This window comes from Homo sapiens, chromosome 17 (genome assembly GCF_000001405.40).
Source record: "Homo sapiens chromosome 17, GRCh38.p14 Primary Assembly".
NCBI classification, from domain to species: Eukaryota; Metazoa; Chordata; class Mammalia; order Primates; family Hominidae; genus Homo; species Homo sapiens.
This window is the reverse complement of record NC_000017.11, coordinates 30,046,134-30,066,648: the sequence shown is the minus strand read 5'-3', so window position 1 is coordinate 30,066,648 and position 20,515 is coordinate 30,046,134. Positions and strand designations below refer to the sequence as shown.

Below are 20,515 nucleotides of genomic sequence, written 5' to 3'. Positions count from 1 at the left end.
CTACCAGTTTTGGGTCTGGTTTATTCTTGATTTCCAAATTCCTTGAGATGCATTGTTAGATCGTTTATTTGAAAGCTTTCTACAATTTTGATGTGAGCATTTATTTCTATAAACTTCTCTTTCAATACTGCTTTTTCTGTATTCCATAGGTTTTAGTATGTTCTGTTTCTATTTTCATTTGTTCCAAGAAATTTTATGATGGCATAGGACCTCAGTAGAAGAAAATTTAAAAAATAAATAAATTAAAAAGTAAAAAGTAAAAATTCAAAAAAAATTTTAAATTCCCTTCTTAATTTCTTCATTGACCCACTGCTCATTCGGGAGCATGTTGTTTAACTTCTAAAGTTCCTCTTGTTACTGATTTCTATTTTTATTTCATTGAGGTCAGAAAAGATATTTGATATGATTTCAATTCCTTTAAATTTGATAAGATTTGTTTTGTGACTTAGCATGTGGTCTATCCTGGAGAATGTTCCATGGGCTGAAAAAAAAGAGGTGTATTCTGCAGCTAGCTGTTGGATAAAATGTTCTATAAATATCTGTTAGGTCCATTTGGTCTAATGTTTAGTTTAAATCCAATGTTTCTTTATTGATTTTCTGTCTAAATGATCTGTCCCATGCTGAGAGTAAGGTGTTGAAGTCCCCAACTACTATTGTATTAGAGTCTATCTCTCCCTTTAGATCTAACAATATTTGCTTTATAATATCAGAGTGCTCTGACGTTGGGTGCATATATGTTTAGAATTGTTCACTTGCTGAATTGATCTCTTTATCATTATATAATGACCTTTTTCTCTTTTTACAGTTTTGACTTAAAGTCTGTTTTGTCTAAGTATAGCTACTCCTGCTTGCTTTCAATTTCCATTCACGTGAAATATCTTTTTCCATCCCTTCACTTTCAGTCTATATATGTCTTTACTGGTGAACCGAGTTTCTTCTAGGCAGCATATAGTTAGGTCATGTTTTTTTCTTTCTTTCTTTCTTTTTTGAGACAGAATCTGGCTCTGTCGCCCAGGCTGGAGTGCAATGGTGCAATCTCGGCTGACTGCAACCTCCACCTCCAGGGTTCAAGCAATTCTCCCACGTCAGCCTCCTGAGTAGCTGGGACTACAGGCGCATGCCACCACACCCAGCTAATTTTTGTATTTTTAGTAGAGATGGGGTTTCACCATTTTGGCCAGGATGGTTTCAATCTCTTGACTTTGTGATCCGCCTGCCTCAGCTCCCGAAATGCTGGGATTACAGGCATGAGCCACCGCGCCTGGCCAGTTAGGTCATGTTTTTAATTTATTGAGCTAATCTATATCTTTTAAATGGGGGATTTAATCCATTTATATTCAAAGCTATTATTGATAGGTGAGTACTTACTCCTGTCATTTTGTTAATTGTTTTCTGGTTGCTTTCTATATCCTTTGTTCCTTTCTTCCCCTCTTATTATTATTGCAGTGTGTTGGTTTTCTTTGGTGATAAGATTTGATTCTTTTCTTTCTCCTTTGTGTATCTGCTCTACCAGTGAGTTTCATATTTTTGCATGTTTTCATGATAGGGATTATCATATTTTCACTTCCAGATATAGGGCTCCCTTGAGCATTTCTTGTAAGGCCGGTTTAGTGGTGATAATTTCCCTCAAGTTTTTGCTTATCTGTGAAAGACTTTATTGTTCTCTCATTTCTGAAGGATAGTTTTTCTGGGTATACTATTCTTGGTTGGTAATTTTTTTTTCTTTCAGCACTTTGAATATATCACCCCATTCTGTTCTGGCCTTTAAGATTTCTGCAACAAAATCTGTTGCTATTCTAATGGGGACTCCACTGTTAGTCTAATGGTGATTCCCTTCTATGTGACTTTTCTCTGGCTTTCCCTTATATGATACTTTTCTCTAGCTGTTTTTAGAGTTCTCTCTTTGTCTTTGACTTTTGACAGTTTGACTTTAATTTGCCTTGGAGAGGAATTTTAGGCTGTATCTATTTGGGAAATTTTGAGCTTCCTGGATCTGGACGTCCATATATCTCCCCAGACTTGGGAAATTTCCAGCTATTATTTTGTTAAATAGGTTTTCAACATCTTTTCCCTTCTCTTCTCCTTCTGGAAGTCCCATAATACAAATATTTGTTCACTTAATAGTGATAATTGTAGGCTTTCTTCACTCTTTTTCATTCTTATTTCTTTTTTCTTTCTCTGACTGGGTAATTTTAAATGGCCTATCTTCAAGTTCAGAGATTAGTTTTTCTGCTTGATTAATAAGTCTGCTGGTGAAGCTCTCTATTGTATTTTTATTTCATTCATTGAATTCTTCAGCTGCAGGGTTTCTGTCTGCTTCTTTTTTATGATTTCTATCCCTTTGTTGAATTTCTCATTCATATGAGGACTTGTTTTCCTGATTTTGTTGAACTGTCAATCTGAATTTTCTTGTCTTGTTGAGTTTCCTTAAGATCATTATTTTAAATTCCTTTCCTGGCAATTAATTAATTTCCTTTTCTTCAGTGTCTGTTACTAGAGAGTTATATTCCTTTGGTAGTGCCATATTTCCTTGCTTTATCATGTTTCTTGTGTCCCTGCATTGATGTCTGTTTATTTGGTGGAACAATTGTCTCTTCCAATCTTTCTAGAGTGGCTTTTATAGAGGAAGATTTTCACCTGTAGTTGAAATTTTGTGTGCTAGTTGGGATGGACATGGCGACATTGTTTCCAGATAGGTGAAATGGTATAGTCTCTGTGCAGTTTCTTCAGCTGTGTTCAACATCAGCAATACCTGTCAGCACCTCAGTGGCCTAGGCAGTAGAAAGTTTGTGGCAGCAGCAGCAGCGGCATATGTTATTAATGTCCTTGATGTTGAGGGCTTTTGGAGTCCTCTTACTCTTGTTTTCCCCACAATGGGGAAACTTAGCTGAGGGGGATCCCTCTTGGTGTCAGGTCTGACATGGCCTATAAGCAGCTGCAGTGGCACTGGGTTCCAGTTGCAGGTGCTCAGGGCAGGTGTCGGGTTAGGGTCCTAAGCACAGGATCTCCCAAACTTACTGTGGCTCCTGATTCTTGGGGTGCAGGTTTGCTTTCTGTGGCAGGGTTGGGTGTAGGTTGCCCATAGAGACAGGATCTGTGACTCTGAGGCACCCCCTAGCAGCTTGAGCCCAGGAGGCTGGGCTGTAGCTGTGATTCTACCCCTGGGGGGCAGGGCACAGCACTGGCCTGACTCCAGAGAGAAAACTTGCTCTGGAAGTTTGGGCCCAGGAGGACGATATGGTTGCAATATGGGAACCTAAGCAAATAAAACTCAAAGGCAACTCAGGTCTCAGGGCATGAGGCACTGTGTAGTAGTGACACAAGACCATGGAATGGTGGGGCTCAGCATTATCCAAGACACTATAAGACCAGGTACGGTGGCAGCAAGTAACCCAGAAAGGCAGAGCACAGCTGTTGTTTGGGCCTTAGGGAGTACAAGGAAAAGAATAGCAGTGACTCCACTTCCCAGGGAGATGGGTATTTCAGCCACTCAGACTCTAAGAGTCCAGTAAAGCTCCAGAGAAGCCAGGTACTAGAGTTGTTTGGACTGTAGGGCAGAGTTCCTTAGCTCAGCCAATGCTCTGTTTCCTTGGGACACAGGTTACTACGTCAACTCAGCACTGGGATGTGTAGCAGCTCAGTTTGGCCAGGGTACCAATTCCCAGAGGGCAATGTGCTGCTTCAGCTCAGGGCTGGGGGTGTGACTGTTCTGAGTGGCCAAGGCACCATTTCTTGGGATGCAGGGAGTTTCTTCAACTTAGGCACTGAGGAGGAATGACTGCTTTGAGTGGCCAAGGAATTGTTTTTCTAGGAGGCAGAGTACTGCCTCAGCTTTGGCCCAAGGGAATGAAGGGAGCGGTAGATGGAGTGACTCCACCTCCACTTGGCCTCATGTGGAAGAGTGCTTGCAGCTCCACTTGAGGATGCTGGGCCACTGGCCTGAGGTGATTTGGTGGTGGCTTAGCCCCAGGGATGAAGGGGTGTCGTGACTACTCACCCCTGAGCAAGACACACTCCAGCCGTAGTTCCAATCCCAAGCTGGTGTAGTGCAGTAGCCACACGGGCCACAAGGGTCAGGGCACTATGTCAGCGTCTTTTCTGGGGAGAGCACAGGTATGTGGTCTAGAGGCAGCTCCCTCAGCTGGGCTTAATGCCTGTGAGGACTGCAGGGGACCCCAGTAGTGAGCTGTGTAGGTGTCCAAGGTGTCAATGGGGGTTGCTGGGATCCTCTTGCTTACTTCCACTTCATAGGTAGAAGTTCTTCCCAGTTCCCACCTGATCCTGGTTGGGGGATGGGGTAGTGGAGACCTGGCATCGCCTTCTGTTCTCTATGTGGCCATCTTGAGTTTCTGGGCTCACCAGGATTTCTGCTACTCCTCTGATGCAAGATGGCACTCTCCCTCAGTTATTTTTCTTAATGTAATTGTTTATTTGTTGTTCTGGCTTGTCTTTGTGAGGGAAACAGGCCCTAAGAGCTTCTAGTTGGCCATCTTGCTGATGTCACCAAAATAAATGTTTCCAAAATGTTTTAATTATAAAAGAGTTAAATGTCCTACTGGAATATAAATGAACATATTAAAGCAAATTTCGTCATTTAAATAGAAAATTAAAAGGCATAGCCAAGAATGTTAATAGCTATCCTATGAAAAGTAATGGGGAAAAAATGGCTTATTCCATTAAATTCAACAATGCAGACAGGCCACATGTTCTATAGCTTTTTATTTGTGATGTTTCTGCCCAAAAGATTAGGCTGTATTAGACAGGAATAAAAGGGGAAATGAGGCTGGGTACAGTGGCTCACACCTGTAATCCCAGAACTTTGGGAGACTGAGGCAGGAGGATCTCTTGAGCCCAGGACTTCAAGACTAGCCTGGGCAACATAGTGAGACCCTGTCTTAAAAATAATTAGCCAGGCATGGTGGCACAGCCTATATAGTCTTAGCTACTTGGGAGGCTGAGATGGGAGGATCATTTGAGCCTGGAAGATAGAGGCTGGAGTGAGCCATGATTATGCCACTGCGTTCCAGCCTTGGCAACAGAGTGAGACCTTGTCTCTAAAAAAAAGGTGGGGAGGGGGAAGACAGACTAAAAGTTTCAACCTTCCTCTTCCATATAGAAATCTTCCATTTTGAGGACACCAGCAGAAACCTTTCTAAAAACTTCTAATCCTATGATTTTAAGCTATTTAAATCCCAATTTTAAATCTTGGACAAAGAAGCAATAGGAGTAGACCAAAACAAGCAAACAAACAAAAGAGCTGTTTGAAGATTTGCCAATCGGTTATTGGCAATGCTTGAAATTTAGAATCTTCTTCCTTTTTAAAGAGCATAAATCTGCTTTTTTTCTTCCATACTGCCATCAGCTCAGCAATCATCTCCTCAGACCAAATGGCTACCAATATGTGTTTATTGAGAGTCGTTTTGTATAAGCCTGCCCTTGGAGAGAATAATTGTTCTTGTTTGCAGACATTTTTATCTGGCAGCAGATTCTGCCTCCTCATTGCTGTCCTGGTTCTCATTTGCTGGGCTTAATCCTTCACATTTTATGCTATCTATCTGTCCCTATTGCTATACCTTACTCATATATATGATCCCATATAATTCCACATAATTGGATTCCATATCATCTAATATATGGGACTTCCTTATAACATTACCCTTAGGTTCCTTAAATTCTAGGATTCTTCATATCTAAAGCCTTCGTTTTGAAAACAAGGAGACCTGGGTCTATGGAAGTTAAGGAACTTGCCAAAGATCACAAGATCATTTAGTGAAGATCCAGTATTGGAACCCAGCTGCTATAACTACTGTCTAGTGTTCTCTGTAGGATGTGGTTTTGTGTTACGAAATTTGCCCATTTGATAAGTGAAAATCACATCATTATGCCTTTTGGAATTTCATTAAGTAAATTCTCATTGGATGTATCCTAAGACATGCCAGGTAGTATAATGTAAAGTTTGTAGAAGACATAGTTACTGAAGAGAACATGACAATCAATAAACTTAGGAACATTTGACGCTCAACCAATACAATGATTTTTGAAAGGGCTGAAGAACTTAACTAACCTTGACAATTCTTTCCCTTGTGCACTATATACTTTAAAAACTGAAAATCTGGTACACCAAAGTTAACCAGATAAATCTTTAAACCCAGTGAAGAGAAAAATAATTTAAACTAAGATCTAATAAAATGAAGAAAGGAATTTATCATACTGGAATGAGAATTTTAGTGGCTTTTGACTGGTAAATACTGGTCATAAGAGAAAAATATAATACACAAAAAGTCACTAAGGAGAATAAGAAGTTAGTAAATTGAAGAAGAAATTTGCAAGCCAGTGAAGACAAAGAGATAAAACAAGAAGAGAGAACAAGCAGAACTGTGGAATGGCTTGAATCCTTTTAACCTTTTTTTTAAATTTTTTTTTATTTTTTTTGTTATTATTATACTTTAAGTTTTAGGGTACATGTGCACATTGTGCAGGTTAGTTACATAGTGAGAGTAGCCAGGTATACTGAAGGAATCTAACTATATAGATTTAAGATTTTGGACAAAGCATTCTGCAACATATTCCACTTCTGACTGTGTTGACAAATGCACAAGGCTTCTAATATTTTCACATCCTTGCCAACACTTGTTATTTTCTACTTAAAAGATTATAGCCAGAGTTGGGCACAGTGGCAGGTACTGCAGTCACAGCTGCTCAGGAGGCTGAGGTAGGAGGATCACTGGATCCCAGGAATTAGAGCCCAGCCTGGGCAGCACAGTGAGACTCCTATCTCTATTTTTAGAAATTAAAAATAAATAAGATAAATGTATATCTATACTGGTAGACATGAAGGGTTATCTAGTGGTTTTAGCATAACCAGTATTTTAACTGTATATGTGTACTGAGAAACTTGAAGCCAAGTTAATTACCACAGTTTAAATAAGAACATTCTTATATTTTACCTTTCTTCATAGATTCTTTTTCCATTCCCTCCTTGTATGTGTACAAGAGTTCATCAACTTCCTTCAGATCCAGGAAGCCTGAGCCATCACTGTCCCACTTCTGAAAGATGGCTTCTAGGAGAAGCCTCTGTCGGACTTGGAAAGCATTTTGGCTAAACTAGGATACAAACAGGATAATAAAGCACGGAAGATATATGTTCATTGTGCTAGCTAGCATTCTGTGTTTATTCCAAAAAAAGTCCAGCGTCTTCTATTAAAACAGGTTTACTTTGAGGCTAAGCATGATATTAAGGGAAAATGCAGTGATTCAGCAGTGGTGCATCCCTGTAAAGCCAGCCACTCAAGAGGCTGAGGCAGGAGTATCGCTTGAGGCCGGGAGTTGGAGACCAGCCTGAGCAACACAGTGAGACCTCAGTCTTAAAAAAAATTTTTTTTAAAAATTTTTAGAAAAGAAAATGCAGTGATTAATTTTAATCCCTTAAATACCATTTCTCTGTTTTACTTCTAGGCCAGAACAAAAACAAAAACAAAAACAAAACAAAACAGACATTCTTGGTTGGTCCCATGGTAGGGGGTTATCAGAACTTATTAACATTAGTGTCACTAAAGTTGGTATACAACCTCCCACTGCTAACCTTGACTGGCTTTGAAGAAAAAAAATAACAGCAGGCATTCTCTGCATTAGTATTCCTTAAGAATCCTTTTTTTTTTTTTTCAAATTTATTCTACAAACCTTAAGAATCTTTGACCATTCTTTTCCACTCCTTCTCTAGTTGTTCAGGAATGTGATAAATACACAGACTGTATTTTAAAATTATTATTATTTTTATTTAGAGACAGAGTCTTGCTATGTCACCCAGGATGGAATAGAGTGGCATAATTACAGTTCACTGTAACTTCAAATTCCTGAGCCCAAGAGATTTTCCCTCCTCAGCCTCCCAAAGCACTGGAATTACAAGCATAAGCCACTGCAGCTGGCCCTAAGGGATATGTTTTGAGTGAAGGGGAATGAATGGCAGTGTTTAAATAATGAAAAATGGCTGTGTTTTAAAAATTCTTTTTTTATATTTAAGATTGACTATATTTGACATTAATTTTATTTATCTTTTAGAGTTTTCACTAGGTTAATTATATTAGTGAGATAGTAATTGAATTAATATCTAGATAGATATAATTGCAAAAATAAAATGAATATACACCTTTTGATTTAGTAGGAAGAACTGGAATTGAGAAGGTAAAGGGAATTGTCTAGAATTAGGTTGAAAAGACTCATAAGGCTGATGATTACTGAATAAGCTTAGTGAAAGTAATTTACATATTTCATATGAGAGAATAAATTGTTTATATAAGCTAATGTGTATGCACTTACCTGTCACCCAAGTAAGTAGTAAGTTCTTAGGAAATATGTACTACCTGGGTGCTCATGAGTAAAAATATATACTCAGGCCATAATCATACCCCAGGTGTGTGTACTTGTAAAGACACTCACACACAGGCAAATAATGCACATACACATCTTTGCATATATCCATATCTGCTTCTCAAAAAGCTTCAGAGAAAGAATAAAGCTGTACAATAAACCATCTCCTGCTAGGAGCAATCATGTTATTATTAGGGGAATGAGTTCTCTGGAGTGTGATCTTAGAATATTTGATGATAAAATAGAATCTTTAATGGCTATGCTTGTTGAAAGAAAGTGATCAGTTTGGTTGTACATTTTTTAACACGAGCCACATCGGGAGCAACTGAGGTTGAGAGATTTACTTATAATAGTGACCTCACTTGTATCATTAATAAATAATATTACCCACCTGTTCTAAGGCATTCATTTTCTCTTGTTCTGTTTCAACATAGCCCTCCTTAAAAAAGGAGGTGAGAGTCTCGCTGACACTCAAGGGAGCGTCTTCACCAACAAATGTCTCCAGGAGTTGCACAAACTGGAGCAGATTGAATGAAACTCCATTGAAGGCAGTTCTGCCTTTTACCTCCTTGCAAGACTGAATATTTCTGATAATTGAGTGTAAATCTGTCAAGCAAGAAACATTACCAAGCAGTAAAGTGAACAATTTTTTCAGTTAGGGAAAATAAATGAGTGCCTATTGTAATGAATATCTGCCATTTTTGACTGTCAGGAATCCATGCTTCCTTCATGAGGACAGCATCCTCCTTTTTTCTTTGGAAAAACATCTCTCCATTGTCAGTTCAGATGAGTCAGGTCATACTGTGCCTCCCACTTTTGTGCCATGGATGGTCATGTGATATACATCTGGCTAACAATTCATATATGATAGCAATGTAACCTACTATAGGCCAATGAGAGTTAGCCTCAGAACTTTTGGAAGAACTATTAGGGACGAATCACTCTTTTTGTACTCTGATTGCTGAACTAGTAGAGTATAAGCTTAGAGATGCTTTCATGGCCATTTTTGTCACAACATGGAGAAAACTGTCTCAATTGAAAGTGACACAGAAAAACAGGGCTTAGAGGAAGACAGACAGTATCCTGCTGCTATTGTTGAGCCTTTGAATCTAGTTGTGCCTGAAAACAGCTGCACGCTGAACTTTCTAGTTAAACAAATTACTAAATACCACCACCACAACTCCTTCTTCCAAAAGCCTTGGCTAATATATTTACCTTTTAGCTCAATAGTACAGTATGAAGTATATTTCATAAAATGTCAGCAAAGTGACTTCCGTTTGATTTATTCATTGATTCAATCATTCATGCCCTTATACCTTCTATATGAGATTTGATGTGATTAAAAAAAATGATTACTCACAATTTTTACATATATTGGTAAAGCAAAATTGATATAAAGATGACTAAGAAGAAGAACATGAACTAGCAGGCTGCAAGAGGTTGACCAATGCCATGCATTTTCACCAGAAAATTTGAGGATAGAAAGTTTGTTATTTGAGGCTTAAATGAGAGAAAAATTTGCAGGTAGGAAGAAGATAATCTTGATCTAATTTAGTTCTACAACTTGTTGATGTGAAAGGCAAAACAATATAGTAGCATTTTAGTGAAATATGAGTGCTTTTGGAACAATCATTTTAAAGACATGCTTTGTCTGAAAGCCAGAAACTACTCTGCTCTGTTGAGTAGATCTTTCTTTGCAAGTCTTCAAAAACAAGATAGATTCTCACTTGTCTCATATGTTTAGATGTGGCCCTACCAGGTAAAGGAATAGCTGAAATGATTTCTATTGAGTTTTAGTATCTAATGTCTGATTTTCTCTGTATGCTTAGATCATAGCTTTAAAGCAGTGGTAGGGCCATATCATGGTTAAAAAATGGGTACTAATGCCATAAGTTTTAAAGCAGAAGAGCATTCATCAATAGCACATGCCACCATCAATAGTACATCACCACCAAATATATCTATCTGGTATATATTTAGATTCACCAGCTCAAGGACAAAATAATGCAAGGAACACCTTCCCATTCTGCCTTAGCTAAATTCAGTCTTTATCATCGAGTACCACAGTAAATTAAATCCATCTATTGGACTGCCATCTATTCCTACTTTCATTGTTAACATGTACCTGTGAACCTGGAGTTACCATAGATTAAGTTTGCCTGTTCCTCATCTTCAAATGTGACATACTTCATTTTCCAGTTACAAGTAAAAAATTCACCTGTAAAAACACATTCCATAACATAGCCAATCAAACTTCGCTTTCACAATATTTTTGTTCTAGGGTATAAATGAAAGGAGGATTAAATGAGGAGTTACCTGACCATGACTTTCCTTCTATTTTTTGGGACTTGGGTTCACAGGGCTTGTCTTTCTGAACTTCCTTTTTTGTAGTTTCTAAAAGGTGCAAATGAAAATGCTTATGAATTAGACATTACATATTCCATTAGCTATTTTAAGGTTAATAAGTGATAGAAATGCATTGCATATAGAACACCAAAAACTCTAAGTACTTTCCCATATATGCAGTGTTGCAATCGACCACAGTGAAGTCACTGAATAACTTGAATTGTTGAAAGCAGCTCTATAGCAAAAGCTGTTATTGTATCCAATTTGGCCATGCAAAATGAGGCTACATTTCTCAGCCACCCTCACAGCTAGGTATTACTATACAATAGCCCCCTTTTTAACCTTGGCAGGATATGTTCCAAGATCCCTAGTGGATGCCTGAAACTGCAGATAGTACATATACTTCTGCAGTTTGAGGTGTGACAGAAAAAGTAGCATGAATTTCTTTTTCCTTCTTCACAATTTAATAAGTAAAAGATTTGTTCTTACTGTAAATTTTAACAACCTCAGAATACAATTTTCTTTCTTTCCTTACTAAGTTGAGAACGAACCTTCCTTCCTTCCTTCCTTCCTTCCTTCCTTCCTTCCTTCCTTCCTTCCTTCCTTCCTTCCTCTCTCTCTCTCTTCTTTCTTTCTTTCTTGATAGGGTCTCACTTTGTTGCTTAGGCTAGATGGAGTGCAGTGGTGCAATCATGGCTTATTGCAGGCTCAACCTCCTGAGGTTCAGGTGATCCTCCCACCTCAGCCTCCTGCGTAGCCGAGACTACAATTGCATGCCACCATGGCCAGCTAATTTTTTTTTTTGAGATGGCGTTTCGCCATGTTGCTCAGGCTGGTTTTGAACTCCTGGGCTCAAGCGATCCACCCGTCTCAGCCTCTCAAAGTGCTGGGATTACAGGCATGAGCCACCATGCCCAGCTGAGAATTTTCACCTTTTCACTTCAAAGGTAGCATTTTATGGCTTCTCTTTGGCATATCCAAATTGCCAGCACCATTACTATTGCGACTGAAGCCATTATTAGGTAAAATAAAGGTTACTTGAACAAGAGTACTGCAACATAATGACAATCTGATAATCCAGCAGCTATTAAGTGACTAATGAGAAGGTAACATAGACAACATGGACATACTGAACAAAAGGTGCAAGATTTCATTACACTACTCAGAATGGTGCACAGTTAAAAATGTATGAATTGTTTATTTCTAGAATTTTCCATGTAATACTTTCTGACTGTGGTTGATTGTGGTTAACTGAAACTGTGGAAAGCAAAACCATGGATAAGGGGGAACTACTGTATGCCTAAATTCTGACCAAAGACATGAGAATAAATATTTGAAATGCAGGGTGCGTTCTGTCTTGAATATGACTTTCAGAAACTCTTCTAGAACATATATTTTATATTTAACTGAAAAAAGCGAGACCCATTTACAGTTGAAATAAAAGAAAATTTTTAAAGTGGTTTCTAATATCAGACATTACATTTAAAACAAAAGGGCTTCTACTACCTTTTCAGAAACCCAATTAAAACACTTCTATAATCTAGTGCAATGGAAATTATATGTAAATTGACAATACAGACATTCTGGCTTGCATTTCATTAGTGAATGTAATTAATTGATTATTGTTCAAGGTCTAGACTAATGTGGAGCAGCAAAATATGCCTGAGGTTTGCATGATCTGATATGCCAGAAAAAAAATTCTAACTTAAATGAGTGTTTTCTGAAAAGACTTTAAAAACCATTCCACAAAACAGGGAACTGATGTTGTAGAAGAACTGCATTACTACCTGGAAAGTGATCTTTTCTGCTTAAGGTTGGAACTTCCTCTTGCAGTTCAGAACTCAGGAATATTTCCTCTTCATATGTTTGTTCCCAAGACCTCTTTTCCTGTAGAGGGACTTCAATGTACTCAGAGGTTATAGGTTCCCCATATTTTGTACTTTTTAAGATACTATCTTTTCTTGATTGTGAAGTTGAGCCTATGTCTTCTTGCTCTTCTGAAATTATCTCTCCATAAGGTCCTTGTTCTGATTTTTGGTATGGTTCTTCTATTACTGACTCTCTGAGTGATCCCTGTTCTGCAGCTGACATTCTGCGTGATCCTTGTTCTGCTACTGACCCTTTGTGTCGATCTTGTTCTGCAATAGACTCTCTGCGTGACCCTTGTTCTGCAACTGACTCTCTGCTTGATCCTTGTTCTGAAACTGACACTCTGCGTGGTCCTTGTCCTTCTATTGACCCTTTGTGCTGTCCTTGTTCTGTAGTTGACTCTCTGTGTGTTTCTTGTTCTGTCAGTAACCTTCTACTTGACCCTTGTTCTAGAGTTGACTCTGTGTGTGTTCCTGGTTCTATTACTGATTCTATGTACAGTTCTTGCTCTGCAGTTGGCTTTTTGCCTTGTTGTTGTTCTTCAATTGAAATTCTTTGTGGTCCTTGTTCTGCAGTTACTCCTCTCTGCTGTTCTGGCGGGTTTGGTGATGGTGTTGATGTTCTCTGTTCGTTAAGTTTAGGTTGATCTGGACTTTCTAATAATTTACTTTGGGTTTTGCTAGCATGATTTGCAGAAAGTAATGTATTCATCTCCAAGAGCACTTTGTCAAAACCTTCATAAATGTGTTTCTGATTATCCATGTCTCCCCACAACTCAGTCAAGTTTATCTCTTCAAATTCAATGAATGGCCCTAATGCAGAAAACAAAATATTCACTTAAACCATTGATCTTATAATGCAGAATTAGAGCTATTAAATTAATGCAAAGAAAAGCATTGAGCACAGAAATTGTAATATAGGCCTATTGCTCTAAATAAATATCAGTTATCTTTGGCTGCAACACAATAAAAAGTAAAAAGGTACCCAAAAGAACTTATACTACTGTAAGTTAGAAATCATCCCTTCCTAAAAGGTGTGATTTTGGAAATAAATAGGATTCTCCTTTTGCTACTTGGAGTGTTGCTTAGACTGCCAAGGCAAATAGAATTTGTCCTCTACCTTTGTGGTCTCCTACAATAAGCATCACATAGGGATGGGAAAAGGGACACATCTTTCATGTCAAATATATTTTCAATATTTGCAATATAAAAAGCAAGTCTTTATCCATGACAATCTTTCAATGGGGCTATGTTTTTCCAACATTCATTTCTTCCCCCTATCTCTTTCCCTCTTCTTTGTTCTTCATTCCTCAATTATTTTCCTCTACAGTTATGTGGATACCTAGAACAGAATACTAGGGAAAGACTGGATAGTATTCACAGAATCCCACTGTTAAACAACAACAATAAAACCCTGGTGTCTGTACTATAAAGAGTGGAAATCATGCCACAAGACTGTCCCCATTTCTCCCAAAACAGTAGTGGTAAGCCATAAAATTGCAATTCTCACAATTTTCAGAAATACTCCAAGTATATCACCCACAGATTTGTAAGTATCCAATTAATAAATCTTCACACAGAAATAAAATATTGACATTCTTGGCCAGGTGTGGTGGCTCAATGCCTGTAATCCCAGCACTTTGGGAAGCCAAGGCAGGTGGATGCCTGAGGTCAGGAGTTTGAGACCTGCCTGCCCAACATGGCAAAACCCCGTCTCTACTAAAAATACAAAAAAATAGCTGGGTGTGGTGGCAGGCGCCTGTAATCCCAGACACTTGGGAGGATGAGGCAGGGGGAATCGCTTGAACCTGGGAGGCAGAAGTTGCAGTGAGCTGAGATCGCGCCATTGTACTCCAGCCTCGGCAACAGAGCGAGACTCTGTCTCAAAAAAAAGACATTCTTTGGGAAACTCAGCCAGTACAATACCTTCTCTTTAAAAAAAATGAAAATAAACTGACCACAGTGGCACATCCCTGTAGTCCTGGCTACTCTGGAGGCTGAGGCAGGAGGATTGCTGGAGCCCAGGAGTTTGAAGCCAGTCTGGGCAACATAGCAAGACCCCATCTCTGAAAACGTAAAATAACATAAAATAAAAAAAAATAAAAATAAACCCCATAATTGTACTTGTTTTGGAAATAACATAAAAAGGATATTTTACTGTATAAGTAAATGCTTGGGAAAAGGAAATACTGTTCTTATACATCTTATAATTTTAAGTTGGGCATTAAAAATGGAATTACCAGGCTGGGTACGGTGGCTTACACCTACAATCCCAGCACCCAGGCATTTGAGACTATCCTTGGCAACAGGGTGAAACCTTCTCTCTATTAAAAATACAAAAAATTAGCTGGGCATGGTGGTGCACACCTGTAGTCCCAGCTACTCAGGTGGCTGAGGTGGGAGAATCATCTCCCACCTGGGAGGTTGAGGCTGCAGTGAGTCATGATCATGCCACTGCACTCCAGCCTGGGTGAGAAGAGTAAGACTCAAAAAAATTTTTTTGTTAATAAAATGGAATTACCATTACTAACTTAATTTCCAAAACATTCAGACTGTCACTAAAGCATTTCTTCATTTGAATGAATTTAGAATTGAGTTCTAGCTGAGTTCTGATATAAAATTTTTGAGTATTGCACTGTGGTGAAAAATACATCTAGTTGTGATGAAGAGTGAATTTCGTGGAGGGAATAAACAACTAGATACAGTTATCATGATCTAAGAGAGCTATTATGTGAAGGGATTCCATGGTGGTAGAATAATCTTGTGTTAACATATCAGTGTATCATATCAGTACATATCAGTGCACTGCGACACTCCAGCTTGAACATACTCCCTCTGAGCGGCACTTACATTGTCGTGGGTTTCGAAGTAAACTCCTAAGCATTTGTGAACTATGGTCATAGAACAATTCCAGCAGGGCCAATGTCCTCTGCCGATCCAAAAACCCTACCTAAGCAAAGAAGAAAGTTTGTGATTAGTTGTTACAGGAGATTTAAGATTTTTATGCAGTTGGAACGTGGCTTATTGAAGCTTTTATCATCACTATCACCACAACAATCATTATCATGTAAATAAAAGCTGCAGCATCAAAATCAAGAAAGTTATATCTTGCCTTTAGGCTTATACTCTACTTTCCCATTCTGTGACGTGTCAAAATGACCTCTACTTAGTAAATGTTTAAGAAATATTTGTGACTGACTTATTGATGGCTAAATCCAATGTATAATGTTCAGTACTTATCTTACCTGACCTGAGTATGTCACTTGAAACAATTTACCGCTCCCTACTTGTCCTTTTTCCATTGTTATTTTTAAAAAATTTTTTTGATTATAGAAAAATATAGAAAATGATAGAATTAACATATGTGTTCCCAACACCCAGAAATAATGATTGTTAACATTTTGTGTATGTGCTTTAAAAAGCCTGATATAGCAACACAGTGAGACCTCCATTGCTTCAAAAAATAAAAAATTAGCCAGGCATGGTGGTGTACACCTGTAGTCCTAGCCACTCCAGAGGCTGAGGCCAGAGGATATGTTGATTTGCAGTGAGCTATGATCATGTCACTGCAGTCCAGCCTGGCTGACAGAGCAAGACCTTGTCTCAAAAACAAAAACAAAAAAACCTGATATAGGCCAGGCGCGGTGGCTCACGCCTGTAATCCCAGCACTTTGGGAGGCCGAGGTGGGTGGATCACCTAAGGTCGGGAGTTCGAGACCAGCCTGACCAACGCAGAGAAACCCTGTCTCTACTAAAAAGACAAAAATTAGCTGGGCATGTTGGTGGGCACCTGTAATCCCAGCTACTCGGGAGGCTGAGGCAGGAGAATCACTTGAACCCAGGAGGCGGAGGTTGCGGTGAACAGAGATCATGCCATTGCACTCCAGCCTAGGCAACAAGAGCAAAATTCCATCTAAAAAAAAAAAAGAAAAAAAAGTACCTGATACAGTACGTATGTCTTTCTTCAAATTGCTTTTATTTACTCAACATTGAGATCTAATTCATATCTGTAAAGAAATATATTTTATACTTTTTAACTGCAATAAGGCATTCTGTAATATGGAAACACCATAATTAAAAAAAAACTCCTCTATTGATGGTGTTTTGATTATTTTCAGTATTTTGATATCAACGTAATGCTGCAATGGATATCCTTATACACGTCTCCTGTGTACATATGCAAACGTTTCTCTAGGATAAATAACTAGAAGTGGAATTACTGGATTGCATAATGTATGCATTTCAACTTTATTAGTTATAGCCAAATTGCTTCACAAAATGTTCATACCAATTTACATTCTTGCCAGCATTGAATGACAGTGTTATTTCTTCATATCCACATCAATACTTGATATTGTTAGAGTTTATTATTTTTTGTAATCTGATAGATAAAAATGGTATCATTATTTTAATTTGCATTTCCCTGATTACTAGTGAGATTTAATATATTTTCATGTGCTTATTATATGTATGGGTTTTTCCTCTTCTGTGAATGGATTTTTCAGATCTTTTTCCCATTTTTCAGTTGGGACCAGTTGCCTATTTCTTTTGTTTTTTTTTTGTTTGTTTTTGTTTTTGTTTTTGTTTTGAGACACAGTCTCGCTCTGTCGCCCAGGCTGGAGTGCAGTGGCATGATCTCGGCTCACTGCAACCTCCGCCTCCCGGGTTCAAGCAATTCTCCTGCCTCAGCCTCCGGAGTAGCTGGGACTACAGGCGCATGCCACCACGCCTGGCTAATTTTTGTATTTTTAGTAGAGACAGGGTTTCACCATGTTGGCCAGGGTAGTCTCAGTCTCTTGACCTCGTGATCCGCCCACCTCAGCCTCCCAAAGCAAAAATTTTAACAAGGTCATAAACCCTGTATTTTTATGGGGCTTATCTCCCATCCTCTGACACACATTAGCTGTCTTACCAAGGTATCTAATGCTACTTTACCAAGGTATCTAATGCTGCTTTCAGCTCATCAAGTCCAATCATCATGATGGATATCATGGACCTGTTCTGTGATGTCAATACAATCAAGGTCTATGTATACTAGATTACGATAGAGAAAAGAAGAACTGCCTTAGCCCTAAGAGAATGCAGTGAAAAGTATTGCTATTCTTGACAGGTGAAATCAAATTTCTTTTGGTCCTTGTAAACTTCTCTAGAGAAAACAGCATTTGCCAGACCAATAGTTGTTGTGAATGAGAGAGCTACGTCAATTTGATTCAATAAAGATTCCACACCTGGAATAGCCATGTAAATAGAGCCACAGTAATCTACATTCTTCAAGATGTAGGCTGGGCGCAGCAGCTCATGCCTGTAATCCCAGCACTTTGGGATGCTGGGGTAGGCGGATCACCTGAGGTCAGGAGTTTAAGAGCAGCCTGGCCAACACAGTGAAACCCCATCTCTACTAAAAATATAAAAATTAGCCAGGCATGGTGGCACGTGTCCTAACTACTTGGGAGGCTGAGGTAGGAGAATCGCTCGAACCCAGGAGGTGGATGTTGCAGTGAGCTGAGATCATGACACTGTACTCCAGCCTGGGTGACAGGGTGAGACTCTGTCTCACAAAAGAAAAAAAAAAAAAAGAAGTATCCTCCACCTTCTACATAGACAAAACAGGAAAATTAGATAAGAATATGATAGGATTACTTCCCCTGAATCGTTTATATATTTTCATATCTATCTCTGTGGAGTTTTTTGTTTTTGTTATATGATTATGTATTTTTTTTTTTAACATTCTGGCAGACAGGGAAAGTTCAGGAGTTTCTGTTACCATAATACCAGGTCCTTCCTACCATAATAGTCCTCAGTTCCCAAAATGGAGAACAAATGTGAAGATTCTGCTGGTTGCTGTGTGTCTATTCCAATTAAACATCCAAGAACCAGAAATAACCATAGCTAAGTCCACAGAGTAATTGGACCTATGACATAAACTTTGACCAAAATAGCATTTATTATCTGACATCTATACATCCTAACTTTACCCAGTGGTCCACGGGAGTGTTTTGGGATCCTAGGAATTGATGTTAACTTGGAATCAATATCTGGTAATCCCTGAGTCTGTGATATTTCCTTTGCCAATGCATATTTACCCTAATAAATGGCTACAGGCCCTTTGAGTAAAGCCTAGAGTAAAATCTACAATATGTACTTGAGGAAGTCTTGTCGAATTCTTCCCCAAGAGACCCAGCCTTCCCTTCAACCAAAGAGTTCTGGGTATACCAACTGACTTAAGTCTGGCATCTGGGTGAGAGGCTGAGATTCTCCATTGTGGTATCTCAACTCATGTTTCTGGACCTATAGTTAGTGCTTTTCTGTAAGTAGATCCAGTAATAATTTAGTAGGCATTATATCCATTTAATTCCTAAGGAAACTGTAATCACCAAGAAAACATTTAGATGGCCACTTTAACTCCCACTGTTCATTATGGTAATTCCAAGTATATATTCAGGAACTAACCACAGTGTGAGTCCTAGACAAACTGGATCCGTTAAAATATGGCCTTGGATCTTTGAGATTGGATCAAAATACTATTATTAATTATACTTATGAGCACTAACTTTGACTAGTGGGACTTGTCTCTGGTAGTTAAATGTCATATATCTTTTGTCACTCTAGAAGCCAATCATTTCCCTTGAAATTAGAGAGTTTACTTCAATGACAGTATCTCTCACCATCATCCCCAGGACAGCAACCATAGAACTTTTTAGTGATATTGGTGCTCCCCTCGTTAATTTCTTTAGTTATTTCTCAAGGGAATGTCATTTGGGCTGTCCTGGGCGATATGGTAGAAGTGCACATATAGAGGCTACATATGAAAAATCAATTTCAGAAATCTTGAAAGCCTTTAGATTTCTTACTGTATAGTAAGCCAAGAAGATTCCGGCATCTCAACCTCATTGAATGCAGGCTATCTTTGAGTCAAGGTTTTATTTAATCTACCAAGAAAATTGTTAAAACTATTCCCAGATATCAAAAATGTTACTGCTAAGTATATACTGCAAAGTATAGCAATACTGATAAATTTGAGGCAATCCAAAGTTATATCTATCCTTCTTAGTCTGAAAGTACTATAATCAATTCCCACACATATTCCCCAGCTTTCTGCTGCTAGAAATTAGCAAAAACTTACTGATCTCTTGGAGTACCAACACTCATCTCTCAAGACAGACTTTGAACTAGTATTCCTGGAGCAATACCAAGATCAGACTCCAATTTTGGATTTAAAGGCAATGAATGTTGTACAGGTGGATCTTGAAGAAAATAGACACCTCCTTGCAAGCTAAATGCCCCAAGAGAAGTTATTAAAGGATCTCTAAGGAAAGAAAAGCTAATATTCTCAGACAGGAGAGAAGGGGTTGCTTCTCCTGCCAAGGAAAGCTTGGGAAGATTTGTGGCTCAAGTCTCAGATTCCTCTGAGTCCACCCAAATGTAACTATTCCAAATTTCAGGGTCTCATCTATTTTCCAATGTGCTAACTTTAATGTAAAAGACTTGGCAAGTCTGTGAATTCAACTTACATCTTGATTCTGTCACATTATATTTGGGGGCTGATTTTTCATCCGTATCTGCCCTGAAGCTACAAGAAATAGAGATTTCTATATAATGATCAGGTTTTCTGACTGCAATTTGAGCTGAGAGTTTAAAGTCCTGAGCTTGTCTTTTACTTTCTATAACCTCTCTAATACTGTGAGATGAAGCCCACCCACTGATAACCCCAGGGGTCATCACTATTGTAATTATGGCCAAATGCAGCAAAAGCTTTTTTCTTTAATAGGCACTTCAACCCAAGCAACCATAAGTGATTATTTTTAAGAAAATTTTCATTAAGGAGCAACAAATATGCAATGAGGTATGCAAATCTTAAGTGTTTAGCTCACTGAATGTTTGCCACTCAGATAAAGACATAGCACATTTTCATCACTGCCAGAAGGCTCCCTTAC

General features: G+C 38.5%; 1 protein-coding gene and 1 pseudogene across 16 annotated transcripts in view; one reads left to right on the top strand and one right to left on the bottom strand.

The window, feature by feature from the left end:
* Window positions 1-20,515, bottom strand: part of EFCAB5 (EF-hand calcium binding domain 5) — a 178,550-nt gene that overhangs the window by 41,804 nt on the left and 116,231 nt on the right. For 13 of the 16 annotated variants that reach the window (NR_026738.2, XM_024450742.1, XM_024450743.1 and 10 more), the window contains 6 exons: window positions 15,432-15,531; window positions 12,501-13,394; window positions 10,684-10,761; window positions 10,493-10,585; window positions 8,759-8,973; window positions 6,948-7,104 (listed from right to left, as the gene is read on the bottom strand). Coding sequence is in view for 15 of the 16 variants with exons in the window: in XM_024450742.1 (XP_024306510.1) it covers window positions 6,948-7,104; window positions 8,759-8,973; window positions 10,493-10,585; window positions 10,684-10,761; window positions 12,501-13,394; window positions 15,432-15,531 (1,537 nt within the window). In the remaining variant the exon portion in view is untranslated. The remainder of the gene's footprint in view (window positions 1-6,947; window positions 7,105-8,758; window positions 8,974-10,492; window positions 10,586-10,683; window positions 10,762-12,500; window positions 13,395-15,431; window positions 15,532-20,515) is intronic. The other 3 variants (NM_001145053.2, XM_047435949.1, XM_017024592.2) reach the window with 1 other exon arrangement.
* On the top strand, window positions 7,502-7,595 carry RNY4P13 (RNY4 pseudogene 13; annotated as a pseudogene).